Here is a 22462-nt window from a genome sequence, read left to right as displayed (position 1 = left end):
TTACTAATTGTCTTATAAACTAAAGAGCTCCAGTGTTAGGTGCATATATATATATAGAATTGTGATACTTTCTTGTTGGACAAGGCCTTTTAACATTATGTAATGTCCCTCTTTGTCTTTTTAAACTGCTGTTGATTTAAAGTTTGTTTTGTCTGATATAAGCATAGCTACTCCTGCTGTCCATTTGCATGAAATGTCTTTTTCTACATCTTTAAGTTTATGATTCCTTATGTGTTAAGTGAGTCTCTTGAAGGCAGCAGAGGGTTGGTGAATTCCTGTCCATTCTGCAATTCTGTATATGTCAAATGGAGCATTTAGGCCATTTACACTCAACATTAGTATTGACATGTGAGACACCATTCCATTCATCATGGTATTTGTTGCCTATATACCTGAGTTTTTTTGTTTTTTGTCTTTGTTTTTTAACTTCTATTTTTGTTTTATAGGTCCTGTGAGATTTATGCTTCAAAGAGGTTCTGTTTTGATGTGTTTCTAGGATTTGCTTCAAGATTTAGAGCTCCTTTTAGCAGTTCTTGCAGTACTGGCTTCGTAGTAGTGAATTCTCTCAGCATTTGTTTGTCTGAAAAAGACTGTATGTTTCCTTCATTTATGAAGCTAAGTTTTGCTGGATACAAAATTCTTGGCTGATAATTGTTTTGTTGAGGAGGCTCAAGATAGAAAATCCCTTCTAGCTTGTATGGTTTCTGCTGAGAAATCTGCTGTTAATTTGATAGACTGTCCTTTATAGGTTACCTGGTACTTCTGCCTCACAGCTCTTAAGATTCTTTCCTTCATCTTAACTTTAGATAACCTGATGACAATGTGCCCAGGTGATAATCTTTTTGTGATAAATTTCCCAGGTGTCCTTTGAACTTCCTATATTTGGATGTCTAGGTCTCTGGCAAGGCCGGGGAAGTTTTTCTGATTATTCCCCCAAATATGTTTTTTAAACTTTTAGATTTCTCTTCTTCCTCAGGAAAGCCAATTATAACGTGATGATAATGTGCCCAGGCAATAATCTTTTTGTGATAAATTTCCCAAGTGTTCTTAAACTTCTTATATTTGGATGTCTAGGTCTGTAGCAAGGCTGGGTAAGTTTTTCTGATTATTCCCCCAATTTTTTTTTTAAACTTTTAGATTTCTCTTCTTCCTCAAGAAGGCCAACTATTCTTACGTTTGGTCGTTTAACATAATCCCAGACTTCTTGGGGGCTTGGTTCATATTTTCTTATTCTTTGTCTTTGTTGGATTGGGTTAATTCAAAAACCTTGTCTTTAAGCTCTGAAGTTATTTCTTCTGCTTGTTCAATTCTATTGCTGAAACTTCCCACAGCATTTTGCATTTCTGTAAGTGCATCCATTGTTTCCTGAAGTTTTGATTATTTTTTATTTATGGTATCTATTTCATTGAATATTTCTCCCTTCACTTCTTGTATCATTTTTTTGATTTCCTTAAACTGGGCTTCATCTTTCTCTGATGCCTCCCTGATTAGCTAAATAACTTACCTTCTGAATTCTTTTTCAGGTAAATCAGGGATTTCTTCTTGGTTTGGATACCTTGCTGGTGAGCTAGTGTGATTTTTGGGGAATGGTAAAGAACCTTGTTTTGTCATATTACCAGAGTTGGTTTTCTGATTCCTTCTCATTTGGGTAGGCTCTGTCAGAGGGAAGTGTAGGGCTCAAGGCTGTTCAGTTTCTTTTTGTCCCATGGGGTGCTCCTTTACGTAGTACTCTCCCTCTTTTCCTAGGGATGTGGCTTCCTGAGAGTTGAACTGTAGAGATTATCTCTCTTCTGCCACAGAGCAAGTCTACCAGGCTCCGGGCTGGTACTGGGGGTTGTCTGCACAGAGTCCCGTGATGTGAACCATCCGTGGGTCTCTTAGCCGTGGATACCAGCACCTGCTCTGGTGGAAGTGGTGGTTGGGACCAGCGGGCGGGGTATTGAAATGAACTCTGTGAAGGTCCTTAGCTCTGGCTGTTTAATGCACTATTTTTGTGCTGGTTGGTCTCCTGCTGGGAGATGGCACTTTCAAGAGAGCATCAGCTATGTAGTATGGGGAGGAACAGGTGATAGGCTGGGCCTTAGAGCTCCCAAGAGTATATGCCCTTTGTCATCAGTTACTAGGGTGGGTAGGAAAGGACCATTAGGTGCGGGCGGGGCTAGGCATTTCTGATCTCAGACTCTCCTTGGGTGGATCTTGCTGTGACTGAGCATTTGGGGTGTCTCCCAGGTCCTACTGGAGCAGTTTGCTTCCTTCAGAGGGTCTGTGGGTTCTCTCGGCTTTCCTAACATATTCCTGCAGTCGTTCTGGAGCAAAAGTTCACAATGTGAGCCTCCACATGCTGCTCTGTCTATCCCAGTGGGAGCTGCAGTCTAGTCCTGCCTCCTGTCCATGATCTATTTTTAAAATATTTTAAAATCCCATTCTAAGATATCAAAATATAGGAAAGTATTTTTATTAATATTTGAATGTGATAATTCAAACAAGGCAAAGCGTTTAAAAAGATTTTGCTTTGTATTCCTTCTAAGGCAAAATTCCTTCTATTTCACTGCTTTTTGCCTATGGTAAATTCAGAATCAAAGAAAAGGCTTGTTTACGTTCTTAACTACTTAGATTTCATTAATTTTTAGCTTTAAGGGGGCATTTTTATTCCTAAAGGCAGGAAATACAAATACATATATAAATACAGCAAGGATGAGTAAAGAAACTCTATACCATTTTTTTTAAAAAGTGACAACAGTTCTCACAAAAGACTAATATTCTTACAATTAATTTTTCTAAAATCCATAGCATCAATTACCATTACTGTTTTACCTGTAACACATTTTTTCCTTACCTCTTCATTAATATCAATAATATCTCCCACTTTCAGCTCCAGTTCATCCTCATTTTGTGGAATGTACTCAAAAAGAACTTTACACTGACGCTTCTTGGTCTCTAAAGAAAGTAACATAATAAGAAATTAGATTAAGAATGATCATTTTTAAAAACAGTATATTTACATGCCATGTTTAGTCACAGGACTTATATAAATAAATAAAAACAGAACGTATGAGCATTCTAAACAGCTAATCACAATCAGCCCTGGTTAGCTTTTTACCCCAAGCCCCAAACTACAAATATTAAGGCTTCAGGCAATAAAATCTCTTTATACATCTTATCCCACCATTTACACAAAAGCAAAATATCCAAATACCCATTACCATTTTTGAGACTAAAAAAACCGACAATAAAAGACACTTCTGGCACAACAAATTCATCATAGACAAGTCCTCTAGGCTAGTGATTTTCAGACTACTTCCTAATCAAGTCTGGGAATACTACTTAAAATTAGTACTTTTACGACTATAGAAAGAAGCAGTAAGATGTACAAATTTCAAATTTATTTTATCTTCTTTAATAACTATTTTCAGACAGCTAAAAATGAAACTCATTTATTTGAAGATAATTTTACTTTAGCTTTTCAAACAAGCTTCATTTATTCAGAAGTGATCATTTATAACCATTCGCGCTTGTGTTCTCAACCTTTTTCAAGCTCTAAGAACTGAGAACTCAGACTCACTCCCATCTTCAAAAGTGAATCATTAAGCAGCTATGGGTAGATGATCAGGAATAGTTGACTACTTCTTGATACTCAAAGTGTGTTTCTTAAACCAGCAGCAACAGTGTAACCTGGGAGCTTGTGAGATATGTAGTATCTCAAGCTCCACCCCACATCTACTTACTAGGAACTGAATAAAAAGTTCCCTCGAAATTCATATATTGAAACCCTAACACCCAATGTGTCTGGCAATAGTGCCTTTGTGGGGGTGGTAAATAGGGTTAAATGAGGTCCTAAGGGTAACACCCTAATGAGATAGGACTAGTATCCTTACAAAAGAGGAAGAGACATCAGCCCACCATTGCCCTCCCCAACCCTCCAATACAAAGGAAAGACCAAGTGAGAAAACAAGGAGACAGTGGTCCTCTACAAGCCAGAAGAGGGGCATCACCAGAAACCAACCCTGACAGTATCTTGATCTTGGACTTCTAATCGTCCAAAACTGTGAGAAGATAAATCTGATGTTTAAGCTACTAAGTCTGTGGTATTTTGTTATGGTAGCCCTAGCAGACTGAATTTTGAATCAGAGTGTGCACTTTAACAAGATCCCTAGGTGGTTCTCAATCTTGTACCCAATAATTCAGTCACCCTGATCTTTAATTCCTTGAAAATGGAATACCCTATTCCATCTCACACTTAAATGTATTGTTTCTTTTGTCAAGGAAATTTACTTTCATCCACGAAGCCCACCTTCAACTCATCTTCACTTCTCAGCTTAGAAGACACTCCCAAATAGCTTTCTTTTTCTTTTTTTTCTTTTTTCTTTTTCTTTTTTTTTTTTTTTTTTTTTTTTGAGACAGTCTTGCTCTGTTGCCCAGGCTGGAGTGCGGTGGCGCAATCTCAGCTCGCTGCAACCTCCACCTCCCGAGTTCAAGCGATTCTCCTGCCTCAGCCTCCTGAGTAGCTGGGATTACAGGTGAGCGCCACCACGCCCAGCTAATTTTTGTATTTTTAGCAGAGGCAGGGTTTCACCATGTTAGTCAGGCTGGTCTCAAACTCCTGACCTCAGGTGATCCACCTGCCTGGACCTCCCAAAGTGCTAGGATTACAGGCGTGAGCTACCATGCCCAGCCACAAATAGCTTTCTAAATTAAATAATCTTCTTTTGTGCTACTCTAGCACCCTGTACTTACCACCCCCTATTCGCTTCTGCAATCCACCCAGCACCTAGCATAGGGCCAGGCTTATTCTAGGTATCTGATATGGTTTATTTGTGCTGCTATAACAAAATACCTGAGACTAGGTAATGAAGATAGTATAAATTTACTTCTCACTTTTCTGGAGTCTGAGAAATCCAAGATCAAAGTGCCAGCAGATTTTATATCTGGTGAGGGCCCTCTTGCTATGTCATCACATGTCAGAATGGCAAAAAAGGGCCTAAGCTAATACCCTCCTGCCCTTTCATAAGGCACTAACCCATTCATGAGAGCACAGCCCTCATGACTTATTCATTTCTCAAAAAGATCCTACCTATTAATATCACCACAATGGAAATTAAATTTCAACATGAATTTTGGAAAGAACCATAATTCAAACTACAGCAGTATCTGCTACATATTTTTGAATGAATTAATAAACAAATATCTAGGTCTAACTATATGGCATCATTGTCAACCAATATTATCACAAGAGTGTCTACACTCCATCAGTAGCCTATCACCAACAATCCTAACAAGATTTTTCTTAATAATTTAAATGCACACTTAACAGAACTTGAGAAGAAAACATGCATACTAGAAAAAAATTAGTGATAAAACTTGAATACATAATGAGAGTAAAATATTTAATATAAACTACAAATATTTCAAAAATTAGAAAGGACAGGTTTGAACTGGAGCAGATATGGAAGGCTTCAAAGAAGAAATAAGAGTTACACAATGAAATATGAGTAAGATACAAGAAGGTGGGACAGATGTGGCAGATATTCTAGAGCAAGGAAAACAGTTTTACTAACAAAGTAGGATTTGGTGATACAAGGACTCTAAGGAGAGAGGACAACAAAGGAGAATCCTAAGAAGTAATCTGGACAGGAAGAATTTCACTGCATCAAATCATGATCTCCAAATAAACTCTTTGTAAAGAAAGATGTCATGCTACAATAGAAATATCAGCTGTACTGGAAGTCAGAAGACTTATGTTCTTGTACAGTTGTCATTACCTAGTTATTTCACTGAAATTCTCTAGGAATCAATTTCCTGGGCCATAAAATTACAATGCGGAACTAGAAAACCACTACAGTTACCTCAGCTCTGACATTCTGTGAATCTACGAAATTGTTTATCAAGACAAAAAGTAATCTAACTTCACCCCCAAAACAACAAAAGAAGCACACTACATGCAACCAATAGCATGGAAAGGTACAAAACAGAGATAACCATCAAGTAGATAAAATAATTGAGTCTCCAAATAAGAAAGTTACATCTGTGTAAGGTTTTTTCCCCTTCCTAAAGCAATTAATAATTTGTATCTGATTTTTTATTGTAGTTTTTATAATAAAAGAAGCCAAAGAAAGCAAACAGACTGGACGTGGAGGCTCATGCCTGTAATCCCAGCACTTTGGGAGGCCGAGGCAGGCGGATCATGAGGTCAGGAGATCAAGACCATCCTGGCTAACATGGTGAAACCCCATCTCTACTAAAAATACAAAAAAATTAGCCGGGCGTGGTGGTGGGTGCCTGTAGTCTCAGCTACTCAGGAGGCTGAGGCAGGAGGATGGCATGAACCTGGGAAGCGGAGCTTGCAGTGAGCTGAGATCGTGCCACTGCACTCCAGCCTGGGCAACAGAGCAAGACTCCGTCTCAAAAAATAAAAAAAAGGAAAAAGAAAGTGAACAGTAACCATAATTTTTTAACTAACCTAGAGTTCACAGTAAAATTTTTCACATTTCACCTTTCACCAGACCTCACGGTAAATTTTTAAGTAATTTAAATAGTTTTTTGCGTGCTATAGGAAAACTTCTCATCTCTTGAAATATAGTGTCCCTAAATACCTTTGCAAGTTGTTCCAGTGACCTTGAGAAACTGTGTTCATTAATGTGTTATTTGCAGTTAGCACTTCATAGACAAGAGGCAAACAATCCATATTATTGAAAAGAAATGTCTATTTTGTTCAAGGTGCTCTTATAAGAATAAAATCCTTTCTTTCTGATAATTTCAGACCTTTTTTAAAATGTGGTTTCTTTTTCATGAATTTTAATATCTCTTAAAATTGGACTTAAGGTGAAATGGACTACTCATTAGCCCCAACCCAGGCAAGTCAATGAAGTCTGAGCAGCCTAGTTATATTTTACCCAAGAGCTTTATTTCTTCCTCTCACACTAAACATAATTTTTCCCAAGTAGTTTGTATTAACAGAATCATTTGCAAAAAATGAAAAAAAAAGATTTAATCAAAGGAAGGAGTCACATTAGATAAAAACATCTAAATAGCTATTATTACCACAAATTATGAGTCATTTATTTTAAAAAGAAAAAAATAATTCCACATTATTTCATATTTAAATAGGGTTCACTCATAAATTGAGGTGACTGCCTATATTGAATCCATCCATTAATTTAACTGCCAGCACAATTAAGGGGGCACTTTGAGATTTTTCACATTTCAAACTGCACAAAGTCAATAAATGTTAATTTCTATAATGTATCAGAACCCATGCTAAGCACAAAAAAGAAGAGAGGTGTCAATAAAAGGATACATGAAATTAAGTCCATTTTAAAAAAAACACTGTAACTAGTATTTTTTCTTTTTTCTTTTTTTTTTTTTTTTTTTGAGACAGGGCCTCACTCTGTCACCCAGGCAGTAGTAAGAACTCTGTTCACTGCAATCTCTGCCTCCCAGGCTCAAGCAATCCTCCCACCTCAGCCTCTCAAGTAGCTGGGACCACAGGCGCTCACCACCATACTGGGCTAATTTTTGTATTTTTTTTTTTGTAGAGATGGGGTTTGCCATGTTGCTCAGGCTGGTCCTGAACTCCTGGGCTCAAGTGATCCACCCACCTCAGCCTCCTAAAGTGCTGGGATTACAGGTGTGAGCCACCACACTCAGCTATTAGTATTTTCTTATCATAAGTAACCTTTAATACTTTCCAGTTCTACAAAAAAATTAATTGTACAAAAATTGTCTTCTAAAAATCATTATATAAGTAAAGCTACTAACAAGGAAGAGAATAAAGGAGGTACAGCAAAGGCGGGGACATACTGCATTTCTTTCATGTACCAGCACTATTCTAAATTCTTCACATCTCCCACACAACAAAGCATTAACACTCACTATCTCATTTACCAATGAGAAAAAAAGGAAATAAAAAGTTAAATAATCCATCAAAGACTACATAGCTAAAATGAGGCAAAACTAAAATTATATCCATTTCTGGAATATTATGCCCACTTCTAAGCCTTCTATCTTTCCACTATAGTATGCTGTCTCCTTTACAGATTACACAGTACTTTGACATAGCTCATACAGTCTAGTCACACTGGATTTTTACTCCTCAAAAATACCATATACTTGCTTATTTCTGTGGGTCTGCCAAAGGCTGCATTTCTTCCTTGAATGCTATTCTCCCAATCTCCATGTGCTTGTATGTCCTACCTAAAGAAGAGCTTCAATATACTCTGCTTGACAACCCCAGTACAAAATTACCTTTTCATCTAAATTATCACTACACATATGTCTCTCATACAGTTCTGAGTTTACAGTATAAAACACCAGAATAACTGTAAACATTTATCAAGCACTTACAATTACTTAACATGTTAATGCCTCTTATAGCCTACAAGAAAATTATGACTATCATCTCTATTTTATAGTAACTTGATGTTCGCCCCTGCTAGACTGTGAATTCTGAATCATCCTCCATACCCAGCTTTATGTGGCAGATTTAATTAATTGCCTAGACCAATATTGTTTCTCATGATCATACTACTCACAGATACAAAGGCATTTGACACACAAGAGTTCAAAAATTTCAGAAAACTTTACAAGTTTAGTATTTTTAAAAAAACAAAACCAAATTGTGTGAAATTTCAGACTCAGTAAGGTTACTGCCCTTGTTCTTTTTCTAATAAAACAGAAAATCTCTAATTTCTAAATGTGAGTCATCAAGAATAGTTAGGTATTTCATGTCTGAAAAATAGATGTAAATATTCAGATCAAACAAAGCTCTTAAATTATGAAACCATTTCTCACTGAAGACTGTTTTTAATGTTTCCATCAAATGCTACAATAAGAGCATACCCCAATAAGAAGTGGGAGGTTGAATGCTAAAACTTCAGAACAGCAAAAGGATTTTTGACCCAATTTTTGGTTCCAGTTGGCTCTGGAAAAAAATATCTTCAGGTTTTATTAAAGCATTAAAATTTATTTAATTAGTCAATTTTTAAAATAAAGTTCTTTCTCCACCAGGCGCAGTGGCTTATGCCTGTAATCCCAGCACTTTGGGAGGCCGAGGCAGGTGGATCACCTGAGGTCAGGAGTTCGAGACCAGCCTGACCAACAAACATGGTGAAACCCTGTCTCTACTAAAAATACAAAAGGTAGCCAGGCATGGTGGTGCACGCCTGTAATCCCAGCTACTTGGGACGTTGGGGCAGGAGAATCGGTTGAACCTGGAAGGCGAAGGGTGCAGTGAGCCGAGATCATGGCACTGTACTCCGTCCTGGGTAAGAAGAGCGAAACTCTGTCTCAAAAAATAAATAAATAAAATAAAATAAAAATCAATTTATTTCTTCAATAAGCAAATAATCAAATGTTATGAGAAACACTGATTCGGCCATTTTACATGAATGATGAATGAATACATCATTTTCATGTAATGAAATATTCATTACATGAATACATGACATATGTATCAATCAGCCATTCATACAGTCGTATCTTTTTAAAAAATTTTCTTGCCCGGAGCAGTGGCTTGGGTCTGTAATCCCAGCATTTTGGGAGGCTGAGGCGGGCAGATCACTTGAGGCCAGGAGTTTGAGACCAGCCTTGCCAACATGGTGAAACCCCATCACTACTAAAAATAGAAAAAATTAGCCAGGTGCAGTGGCGTGTTCCTGTAATTCCAGCTACTGGGGAGGCTGAGGCTGCAGTGAGCTGAGATTGTGCCAATGAACTCCAGCCTGAGACTCTGTATCCAAAAAAAAAAAAAATTCTCATCCTTAGCAATAAAAAAATCGTAATGCTTAGGCCATTAAGTGAAAGGCTCAAACTGTTCAAGATACTGCCTACTTTGCTGAGATGTTCTACTTAAGACACTCAATATTTTAGAAAATCTTCATTATCACTATCATGAAGAAAAAGATAATGTGATCAGAGGTAATGTATTATGTCTGTAGCATACTTTCAACTGATTCCATTAAAAAAGTATATGTATATTAAGATAAAGCCAATGTGAGAAAATGTTAACAGCATATGTAGGTGAAGGGTATACTATGTTCACTGCACAATTATTCCTTCAACTTTTCCAGATATTTTAAAATTTTCCAAATAAAATAGAAAGTTAGAACAGCCTACCCTGTTCAAGAGGGTAGGGTGTTCTAACCCCAAGATGATCTAGTCATTTGAGTGAGTCTTTTTCTCCTTACCAGTCAGAATACTTCAATGTCAAAGAGCCACCATGAACCAACACACTCATTTTTTCAAAAGGTATGCTGCAAAGATGCATAGTCAGTGGACATAATCTGACAGCATTCAGAATGTTACTATTTTCTTCAGCACTGACTCAAAATAAGAAAGCATACTATTTGCTACCCAAAGGTTTTATGGGAGTGAAGTAATGTGTAGACTGGCATTGTTTCAACTAGCTTTTCATGTGCAACATCATCCCTTGCAGTATAAACACTAGTGATCTATCAGTATCAATCTCAATGTATCTTTTACACTCAAAATAATTAACTACATGAAAAATCACTTCTGCTGTAGCGTGAGTTTCCACTACTAAGGAAAATACAATTAGCAAACACTATGTATTGCCTCACGTGTGCCAAGAGATTTCATCTGGTATCAGTTTCTTCCAAATGTAAAGTGAAACATCTACCAATATTCCACGCTGACTGCTAATATTCTGATGCTGAAACACGTCAATTTATTTACTCTCTAAACACAATATTTTACCATTATCTTTGTGGCTGATTTTACAAGGGTGTCAGAAGTAATGTGACTTGCAACCTGTTTTTGCTTTGAGAAATGCACATTTGTTCTCTTCTCTGACTTTAGCAACTTACAGTAATCAACTTTTTCCTGAGAAACACTATTCCATGTTTGCTCTAAAAAAAATTAATACTTCTTTGTTTTACCAAATGAGCTACCATGCTTAGCAATGGATCATAGCAAAAGTTTTCACGGCTTCATTACTATCCCAAAAAAGCCAATATACTGGAGACTAGAGAAGAATAGCTCACTAGTCCAATCCAGTTTTTGGATACTCAACATCATTATACTTATTTGAACCTCTCCTTTGTAGTTGCTTAGACAAAATTCAACACATACACAGATTCATTTTGTCTTGGCACACAGGGATTTAAACTGAACATATACACTGCAGTGTTTACACTATTAACCTTATGTTAATACAATGGTTTTGGGTTTTTTTAAATTAATATTAATAGTACTGGTTAGTTGTATCCTGCTACTATGTAACAATACAATGAGCCACTTTTAAATAAGTGATCTATTTTGGGAATTAGAGATATGATCCAAACAGTAACAAAAAAAAAAAAATCAAGTTTAATAAACATAAAATAATACATAAATGACAGGAAAACAGAAAAGCAAAAACAATTTGCATCCTGTTTTAAATGTTAGCTGACACTAAATAACCAATATAGTCCTTGCAGCACATGTACTTTAAAAACAAGTTATGGAAGATCCTTAGGAAAAAAAGGCCTAAGCTTCCTGGCACCAACTGCATAATGATTTTTCCTTCTTACAAGAGAAAAGAATTTACATCCAGTGTTCTTACGAAAGGCAAAATTTACTGTATCCTTTCCTATTAGAAGAGAAAGTGAAAAAATATTCAGAACCTTCAACCTCTTTGTCTAACTTCTACTTAAGAAGAAACTTATCCCTTTATAGCTCCCTAGAGTGAAAGAAAGTTGTAAATGGATTTTACTATGGACAGAGGTCATGAAAAAACCTCCCGTGGGCCTAAAAATTCTCCCTCAGCACAGACATTCTATATAGAGGTTCAGCTGTATGATATAAAACTGTTATTTGTCCCCCAGTCTCCAAGCAGTTTCAGAATTCATCATCATCAGAACTGCTGAAACCATCCACCTTCAGGCAATAATGCTAGAAAGCAGTATATATAATATGCAAATATTCCCTGGATATTGTATTTCCTTGAGAAACAAAGAACAAATAGAACCCTAGAATTGGTCCAAGTGTCATAAAATCTGTTTCATTTTTATGACAACCTGTTTTTATTTTATGAAAATAATCAAAGGATGATGTAATCCAAAAGTAGAGGTTTCCCCAAACTTGACAGACAACAGCTTATGAAAGTAATAGACTGAGACATAAGGGGACTCTATAAAAATTATTAATAGCCTTACAATTACAATTTGGGAAATGTATGTAAACAAAATTTCTTTATTGTAGAATATTTTGTACTACAGGGATTTATACACCATAATTTCAAAGACATTAAAGTAAATGTGATTAAATATTCATTAACTATTAACCCATTTATGCCAGAGGTTGCAGTTTTTTGAATTTTTGCAATCAGACCTTGGCAATGACCTTGAACAGCAGGATAGTAATAACTCCTACATTCTTAGCATTCCAATAATGGGACACTAGGCATAGATGGGTTAAATCAAATTGACCATAGTAATAAGTATGCAATCTCTAGGCTAGCATGGTGGCTCACGTCTGTAATTCCAGCACTTTGGGAAGCCAATGGGGGCAAATCACTTGAGCCCGGGAGTTCAAGAACAGCTCAGGCAACATGGCAAAACCCCATCTCTTCAAAGAAAAATACAAAAATTAGCAGACGTGGTGGCACACACCTGTAGTCACAGCTACTCAGTAGCCTGAAATGGGAAAACTGCTTGAGCCTGGGAGGTCAAGGCCGCAGTGAGCTGTGACTGCACCACTGCAGCCAGGACAACAGAGTGAGAGTCTATCTCAAAAAAAAAAAAAAGTATTCAATCTCTGAAGGGTCTTCTGGTTTTACTGTGTTAAAACATTTGCTATGTGCTCCCATAACACCGTAATTCTTTGTACACGTTTAATATTTTACACTTTTTAAATAACAGTTTCTTTTGTTTTTTGGAGCAGAGACTGGAGTGCAATGGCAGATCTCGGCTCACCTCCCGAGTTCAAGTGATTCTCCTGCCTCAGTCTCCCAAGTAGCTGGAATTACAGGCAAGTTCCTCCACGCCCGGCTAATTTGTATATTTAGTAGAGATGGGGTTTTACTATGTTGGTCAGGCTGGTCTCGAACTCCTGACCTCAGGTGATCCACCTACCTAGGCCTCCCAAAGTGCTGGGATTACAGGAGTGAGCCACTGCACTTGGCCTTAAATAACAATTTCTTTTCCAAGAATGTAAGCTCTTTGAGAACAGCAATATTACCTGGTGTTTTTTGTTTTGTTTTGCTTTTTTTCTTAACCACTTTCTCACTAGCAGCAAATAAAACTCAACAGTTTAAATGATCTTTCTGAGGTCATAAGACAGACTCAAACCCTTATCTGATTTCAAATGTAATGCTCTCCTTCTTTGCCAAGTTGTTCCCCTAACATATTTACACAGTACCAAATCCTTACAAGGTAATTTGCAAGGCCAACCACCTTGGAAATGTTTATGTTCAGATGTTTAACAACTGAAGAAAAAGCACTATCAAAATTCTTGTATCTATGCTAAGAATCAGCAGATATTTCAGAATCCCACTAAATAAATGGTATTAAAATATAGTTAAGGTAAAATGGTAATCATTCAGCAGAGTCTGAAAGATAAATAAGAAAACAGAGCCTCATGCTTTAATTTATAATGATATTGATTTGTTATTGATTGCACATGACTAAAAATTAAGATTGACTACACAGGGCAATAACTAGTAACATGAGACTTTGCAGGAAGTTACTGTAGTTGTCTACAAAAGACTGAACTAATTTTTCTTAATTTAGACACAGTTATAAAATATCCTTCTATTTTGATGTAATTATGCAGGAAAGGAATTATTTACATACTCTTCTTAATGTTTTTGGTTTGTGGATGTGGCTGAATTCCTCCAGCTGGAAGTCCATAGGTGCTTATTCGTTGTACAAGACTTGCTACATTCCCATGCCTTTCCCGTTTGATGGGCAAACTGTCATCCTTGAATTCCGTCTCTCTTTTAATTTCCTACAAAAGGGAAAATAAATAAAGAGGCAAGTTAAGTTATATTTTTTATATTAAATCCTCAAATGTAAAATACCAAAAAATAGCTACAGTAATTACTATATAAATCATAATATCAATAGTTTCCAACCTTTGCTCTGCTCAAACATATCTGAAGAATAAAACACATTTTGGTAACAGTGACTCATGAGTTTAAGTTTTATCAGAACTGGAGATGAAGATAAAGGAAAGAGAGGCTCAAACCCCACCCCGACCACTCACCCCAACTACAAAGAAACACTGAGATACAAAGACAAACAATAATTCAAAGTCAGGGGTAAACAAACTTTCTATAAAGTGCCAGATAGTAAATATTTTACAATTTGCAGACCATACACTTTCTGTTGCAACCATCAACACTCCTATGTGTGGTATAAATGCAGTCAGATATTTAAATGAATGAATATAACTATGTTCCAATAAAACTTTATTTATAGACACTAAAATTCTAATTTCAAATAATTTTATATGTCATATTATCCTTTTGATTTTTTCCAACCATTTATAAAATTCTCAGCATTCTTAGCTCATGGGTCTTACAAAAACAGGTGGTATTCAGACTTGTCCTGTGGGCTGGTAGTTTGATAGCCCCTGATCTAAGTCATGGCTATAAAATAAGACATGTGAACCATCATGGAAAAGTATAAAATTTTACTGGAAGACATGAAGACAAAAACAAAGTTATGCCATATTTAGTAACTGAAAACTCAGTATCATAAAAATATATCAGTTCTCCCTTAAAATTGATGTAATATATCAATGCAATTCAAATACACAAAAAATTTGGAGTAGCAATTTAATAAGCTGTTTCTAAATTTATACAGAACAAAAGGCTAAGAACAGTGAAAATACTTCAAGGAAAAGAAAGCGGAGGGAGTTTTTGTTAACGAAAATACAAAGGAAAACTATAACGATAGAATTAGACAATGTGCTACTGGCATAAAGACAGTACTGATAAATGAAACAAAATAGGAAATCCATAAACAGACAAACTTCATTTAAAACAGAAAAAAATGAGGAAAGATGGAATCTTAAAATACATTGTGCAAGAAAAACGTTCCATATTTAATAGGGAATGAAACTGGATACCTATCTCACACATTTCATATTAAAATTAACAATTTTAACTTGATATGGCAAGTATTGTGTGTGTGTGTGTGTGTGTGTGTGTGTGTGTGTGTGTGTGTGTATACATATATATATATACTTTTTTTTTTTTTCTTCAGACAAGGTCTCCCTCTGTTACCCAGGTTGGAGTGCAGTGGCATGATCATGGCTCACTGCAGCCTCCACCTTCTGGGCTCGAGCAATCCTTCCACCCTGCCTCCCGAAGTACTGGGATTATGGTAGTGAGCCTCGGTGGCCAACCAAGTATACTTTTCTTAACCTTTACAATAGAATATTTCTATTTCAAGTTTATAAATTCTTATGATTATAAAAGTATTACAGATTGTTTTAAAAGTATCTTGTGAAAAGGATTCTTTTTTTTTTTGAGAAGGAGTCTCACTCTGTTGCCCAGGCTGGAGTGCACTGAGCGCGATCTCTGGTCACTGCAACCTCCGCCTCCTGGGTTCAAGCAATTCTCCTGCCTCAGCCTCCTGAGCAGCTGGGACTACAGGCATGCACCACCACACCTGGCTAATTTTTGTATTTTTAGTAGAGACGGAGTTTCACCATGTTGGCCAGGCTGGTCACAAACCCCTGACCTCAGGTGATCTGCCTGCCTCGACCTCCCAAAGTGCTGGGATTACAAGCGTGAGCCACCACGCCCGGCCGAAAAGGATTCTTATAAAACATACTTCAAATACTTGAGAACTGATAATGTGCTAGTTTTTTAATACAGTGCAAAATAACTATTATGTACTATAATTATTACTAGCTATAGTTTTTTAAAAATCAATGTGGAACAGGAAAAGAAGAGTACTGGTAACCTATCATTTCCAAAATTTGAGAGTTGTGCTGTTGCAGGAAACTGAGGACCAGAGAGACCAATATGGAGAACAGGAGGATTGTTTATTTAAGGTATGCACTGGCTCAGTGGATTCATATCCAAAAAGCTGAGCCAGTACATACCTTAAATAAACAATCCTCCTGTTTCCCCTCATATCGTCTCTCCAGTCCTCGGTTTCCCGCAACAGTGCAGTGCCCAAAAGGTGTACACATTTCATTAGTAATAATTCTGATTAAGAATAAATGTTTTTTCTTTCAGTTTCTGTGTATTATTTTTTAAATGGTTAAATTGTTAAAATATAAACATTTATTAAGTTACTCGAATCCAACAGTAAGAACAACTCTTAGGTCTTTCTTTTGGTGTAGGAGCATCATGAAATAAGGACTGAGACAATAATGGTGTTGTGTAAACCAAGAAAGTTTCGGAATCTCTGGCATAGCAATTGAAAATGAGAATTCTTAAAGAAATTTTTTACTCTTAAAAGCTGATTATCTTAGTATGATATCAAAAAACACATTTTTTTTTTGGGTAGAGATAGCATCTTGCTATGTTGTCCAGGCTGGTCTTCAACTCCTGGGCTCAAGTGATCCTCCCTTCTTGGCCTCCCAGGGTGCTGGTACTAGTTTTGCCCAGCCAAAACCCATAAATTTTAAAATAACGTTCAGTTATATGTTAAAAAGGTAAAAAAGCTATTACCTTGTAAATAAGTTCTGGCAATATATGTCCACAAGTGTCAACCTAAATAAGACACTGAATGAATACTATTCCTTAATGAAAATCCTGGTTCAACAGACACTAAAGTAAATTTATATTTGTACTACTTGACATAGTATCACCTTTCTGCTCTTTAGCATTTTCATAAACACTTATTGAGCACCTGCTAGTACCAGGCAGCAGCTAGGCATACAAATGTTAACAAGAGAGACTGTCTTTTGTTCTCACAGTACTGTACATTTTACAAAAGAATACAGAAAATAACCAGGCAGTTAAAATTCAGTGTAATAAATATCCAAAAACTCAAAACAATCCAAACATCCATCAAGTAAATGAATAAACAATGGAACACTACTCAGCAATAAAAATGAAGAAGTTATTGATACACAAAAAAATCTATCAATTTCTAATTCTGATTGAAAGAAGCCAGACACAAAATATATATGGTACATTAAAAATCTTAGAAAATACAAACTAATGTATAGATTAAAAAGCAGATAAATGGTTTTGTCGGGGTAGGATCACAGAAAGAGAGATGGACAGTAAAGTGGCACAAGAGTTCTTGATAAACACATAGAGCCTCTGCATCTTTATTGTGCCAGAGGTTTCACGGTTGTATACAATTGTTTAAAAACTTACTGAATTTTACATTTTAAATGGATGCCATTTATTGTACATAAATTATACTTCAATAAAGGTCATTTTAAAAAATGTTCATGATAAATGCTATAAATAGAAAACACCAAATGCCTAACACAGGAAGTGTAGCTAACATAAATTCAGTGGTGTTAAGGCAAATCGGGATGACTTCTCAGAGAAAGTGACATCTCTACTGAGACAGAAAGAATAAATGAGAGTTAGCAAGGTACAGAGAAGGCAATAGGAAGAGTGTCTTAACAGGAAAGCATAGCATATGAGCAGGCCGGAAGGCAATGGGAAGCACAGAGCTTCTGAGGAATGAAGACAACACTAAATTTGCCTGGAGCATGGAAGGAAGGGAAAGATGATAAGGGTGGTAAAATTCAAGAATAGCAAGGCGAGCAGACGGCTGATATAAAGCTCTCTGAGTCTGGGTAGGCAATCTGAAATACAGTAAATTCCCACTTAAAGTCTTTGATAACTTCTTGGAAATTGTGACTTTAAGCAAAACAATGTACAAGGAAACCGATTTTAGCATAGGCTAGTTGACATAAACAAGAGTTAAATTCCTGTGGCATACCTCTGGGTCACAAAAACATCACCAAACTTATAAATAAAGATCAAAACACTTCTAATAATAAACACTGAAATAAATGTGAGCTATACATACATTTAGTAAAATTAATAAAAACCAGTAAGATAACTATTTATGCACCTATTCCAGTTCAGGGTTTCCAGTGGCCAGAGCCTATCCCCACCAATTCAGGGTGCCAGGTAGGAACCATCCCTGGACAGGACACCATTCCATCGCAAGGCACACTCAGACTGGGAATGATGTAGATACACCAATGAACCTCAAGTACGCATCTTGGGGATGTGGGAGGAAACTGGAGTACCCAGAGAAAACCCGTGCAAACATGAGAATATGCAAACTCCACAGACAGTGGCCCCAGCTAGGAACCAATTTTTTTTCATCAACATTACAACAAAACGACACTGAACAAAATGAATTCATGTGAGGACCTAACAGAAGATGAGATGCTGCCATAGTGCAATAAGTTGGGGGGGGGGGGGGGGGCAGTACTAGAGTTAAATATACCAGGTGAGAGCAGAATGTGCCCTAAGTTATAATCGTGACAAAGGGGAGAAACGCTGAAAGAGTCAGAAAATATTCAAGAGGCAGAATCTAGATAATTCAGTAGATACAACCTAAGAAGAAAGAGTCAAAGATGATGCCCAAGTTCCTGACTTGGGCAACTGCTCAGATGTTGCCATGCACTAAGAAAGCAAACGTATCAAGAGAGTGAGAAGATAAGCCACATAATGGGAGAAAATATTTGCAAAAGATGCCTAAGACTGTCATTTGAGATATACAAAGAAATATTAAAAGTCAACAATAAAAAAGCAAACAGCCTGATTTTTTAAATGGGCAAAAGATCCAAAAAAATCTCTGTGATCTCTCCTAGATTCCCTATTCCGGCACAAAAAAAGATAGGTGAGACATCCTTTGCCTCTGCCATCAAGAGACTTACCTCTAAACTTGTGACCCTTTTTGTGACTAAAAAATCAGTAGGTACATCACTAAAATGTTATGTTCCAGGACAGAAGGGATTATGTTTTATTGTATTTCCACTGCCTAAAACAGTAGCACCAAGTAGGCACTAAAATACTTAATAAACTACTATTTACAACTGGTAAAAACAGCAAAGCATGAGACAGTTGTATAACACTCTAATCCAGAAATAAACCCAACCAAATATATAAGTTCCATATATAATAAATGAACTGGCTGGATGCAGTGGTTCATGCCTATAATCCCAGCACTTTGGGAGGCTGAGGCTGGCAGATCACTTGAGGTCAGGAGTTCAAGACAAGCCTGGCGAACATGACAAAACCACCTCTCTACTAAAAATACAAAAATTAGCCAGGCGTAGTGGCACACTCCTGTAACCCCAGCTCCTTGGGAGGATGAGGTATGAGAATCACTTGAACCCAGGAGGCGGAGGTTGCAGTGAGCCAAGATCACAGCACTGCGCTCCAGCATGGGTGACAGAAAGAGACTCTGTCTCATCCCCCAAAAGAAGTAGTAAATTAGAAGCTCAAACAGCCATTAGTTGTGAACTATTTAAATAAACTACAGTACATGCATCTGATAAAATACTGTAGTCATTAAAGAATGATATATCTGTATTAGAAATGATATCTGAATCACACTATTGAATAAAACAAACCAATTTTACAACACCACATATATAAAACATGTTTCTATTAAAAATACATGCTACCCAGAAGCTTCTTAGCCAACAATATGACACAAATATATATTTACAGGTATGAACCAAAAAACAAATGTAGGTAAAGACGACGACTTGATTTTTACTAGTGAACCCAATTTTCTTGACTCTGAACTCCCATGTAACTCTGGGTAGAAAACTAAACCTTGTCACTTTCAAAAATAATGAAATCCAGGGCAGGGCCACTGGCACAAGCAGTATCTAGTACTTTCTCTGGTTGGGGACAAACAACTAATCTGCAGGTATCACTCAACGTACTCCAAGCAGCTTCCTGGCACAGCTGACAACATAGTTACTTCCATGTCCCATACCAAATCACCACATACCAGATGCTATCTTTTTCTTCTACTGGGCAGCCTCTTCAAGCTAGCATATCAATTCATTCATTATGGTGCACTGTGTCCACAGGAAATAAGAATCTACTTTATATGAAACTTACCTCCTTCAGGAAAGGACTGAAAGAGAAGTGTACCTTGTTTTCACACTCCCTTTTACTCTCCACAGTATAATTCTCCCTTTCCTTTCTTTCACCAAATTCTTGATCTCCTTGTAATGCCTCTTTGCTCCTATTGGAATCACTTTGGTCTCTTGGATATAAGAAATTTACAGCCTAGTTCTTTGTATACCTGTCTCAACATTATACTTTCAGTTGATCCATGGGAGGTGGGAAGGGAGACAGACCAAGAGCAGCAACAACAGGTATACTTCTTCATTGAGTGTAGGAGCACACCTTCACAGACTTCTCCAGGCATTTATGCCTACCACACGTAGGATTTCTGATGAACATGACCTCTTCATGTAACTGTTCAAAAAAACTTTTCTTTTTTTAAAAGAACAATGAATATTTTTCAATCGGGGGGGAGTCTTTTATTTTGGAAAAACAGTTAAGTGGGTAGAGAATTTTGAAAAATTACTAAGTACAAAACATGAAAGATACACAAATATTTCCCTGTTTTTATTGGTAATGCACATAAGAAAATTACTTTGATTTGCTATTAATAACACCCATCAACCTCACAGTTTTCAGACTGCACTAAGTATTTTTCATACTAATAAAAACAAAATCTACATAAAAGACTAGTAGTTACAACCTCAACATGCCAAAGAGTACTTGCTCATTTTGGATTCTCCTGTCTGCCTCATAAGCTACCTACATTGAAAAAATAAAATTCACACTTCTGAGAGCTACTGTTGCTTCTAGTACAGGAGACCAAGCACTTGACTTACTATTCAAATCCTGTTCCTCTTGAAAGTAACTCCAATCTGACCAAATGTGATAGAGGACAGGTTCAGGAGACAGACAAACTGTATACAAATCCTGGTTCCATTGTGTTCATTTGCTGTAAAACAATGTTAACATGATATATGAATTCATTGCTCAAGATCTAGAACCATTTTAGGAACCTTCAATTTTCTCTGGGACATAATCATATCTAAGAATATTAGATATAATAAATCTTCTGAAGACAAAAGATACAAATAAAAGGGGGAAAGCAACTTAAAAAATCTTATAGTCTACAATGAATAGAAAAAACTCAGGTTTACAGCCTTCCAAATACATACTGCCAACTGAGATGTTACCACAAGTACAATTTTGCTTAGACCTCAAGGCTCTAGGCAAAATTACAAATAAGGTAAAGTTTGCTGTGAGGTCCACCACCTTCTTCTCTGGAACTCCTCCGAGCTACAATCCCTTACTACTAGAAACACACACATACACTCTCACCAATCTACTCTTTTCCCTAGTTTCTGGAAACATAGTGCCTCTACCAGACTACTCTTTGGCTATCAATTTCAATAGCAAATTTTATCTAATATAGCAAACTTTACCTAGTACCTAAGGTATTAGTAAGGCTTCCAGTGTTTATTCCTTCCTCTGCCCTTCATTCACTTTTACCAAAAGAGCCAGGAAATAGCATACATATTAACATTGCAGTATTTATTTCCTACCAACATCACTTCCTTTCCTGACTTGGAAAATAACTTCAGGAGATGTAGTAAAAAAGAGTCCTCACTTGGAAAGCAATCATGTATAGTCAAAGCAAACTCTGAAAAACTCGAGTTTCATACTTCAAATGAGGGAAGCCACTTGCACAATAGGTAATGTCAATACAAAACTTGCCAAGAAAAAATACAATATGGATAATCTCCATATAGATAAGAATGTGCTATACTGATTGGTTTTGCTTATAGATAAAGAGTAGGTAGTACAACAAGAGGATAAAAACTGAAATACATATGCAAATGGTGGGGGAAGTTAAAGGGTATATCTACTCTTCATCTATTAAGGTAATCAAAGATACATAATTTTGATTGTATTAACCAAAACAAACAACTAAAAAGATAATCAACAAAATTCACAAACCACTCCTTCATGTTGTAATATGTCCATATAATAATCTGGCTATCTAATCATGGCTGTGGCCATTATCATGATTTGAAAATAGAAAGCAATTTACTTGTATTCCATAGACTCAAAGGTCGCAAAGAATAATAAAAACCAGGTGAGAAGTCAAGAACTTCATTTCATTTCTCAAATGAAACAGGCAGGTTACCTAGTCACCAAATTCCTAAACACAGTAATAATTCTGCTTAAGCTAATTAAAATCTAAGGAATATACTTAATTATTTTAATTTAACATTCAGGATTTCCAGAAGTATATAAAATTAGTATCTCCTACTTCACAGAAGCATAATCAGACAATATGAAAAAGTGGTATTACTAAAGAATAAGGAAAATAAGAATTAAATGTTTATCTGGTATATACTGCCAACTATTTTAGCTCTGACTAATTTTAGGCTTACATTTTAAAAAATAGTCTAGAAATGATTGATTTAGATTTTAACCTAACAAAATGGCCTACCATACTCCTGAAGTATTTTTGTT

General features: G+C 36.4%; 1 protein-coding gene across 4 annotated transcripts in view; it reads right to left on the bottom strand.

The window, feature by feature from the left end:
* Positions 1–22462, bottom strand: part of CD2AP (CD2 associated protein) — a 149475-nt gene that overhangs the window by 79721 nt on the left and 47292 nt on the right. For all 4 annotated transcript variants that reach the window (NM_012120.3, XM_005248976.2, XM_017010641.2 and 1 more), the window contains 2 exons: positions 13788–13941; positions 2837–2937 (listed from right to left, as the gene is read on the bottom strand). In NM_012120.3, coding sequence (NP_036252.1) covers positions 2837–2937; positions 13788–13941 — 255 coding nt within the window. The remainder of the gene's footprint in view (positions 1–2836; positions 2938–13787; positions 13942–22462) is intronic.

This window comes from Homo sapiens, chromosome 6 (assembly GCF_000001405.40).
Source record: "Homo sapiens chromosome 6, GRCh38.p14 Primary Assembly".
NCBI classification, from domain to species: Eukaryota; Metazoa; Chordata; class Mammalia; order Primates; family Hominidae; genus Homo; species Homo sapiens.
Note: the sequence above shows the minus strand (reverse complement) of the source record. Positions and strands in the feature narration are given on the sequence as shown.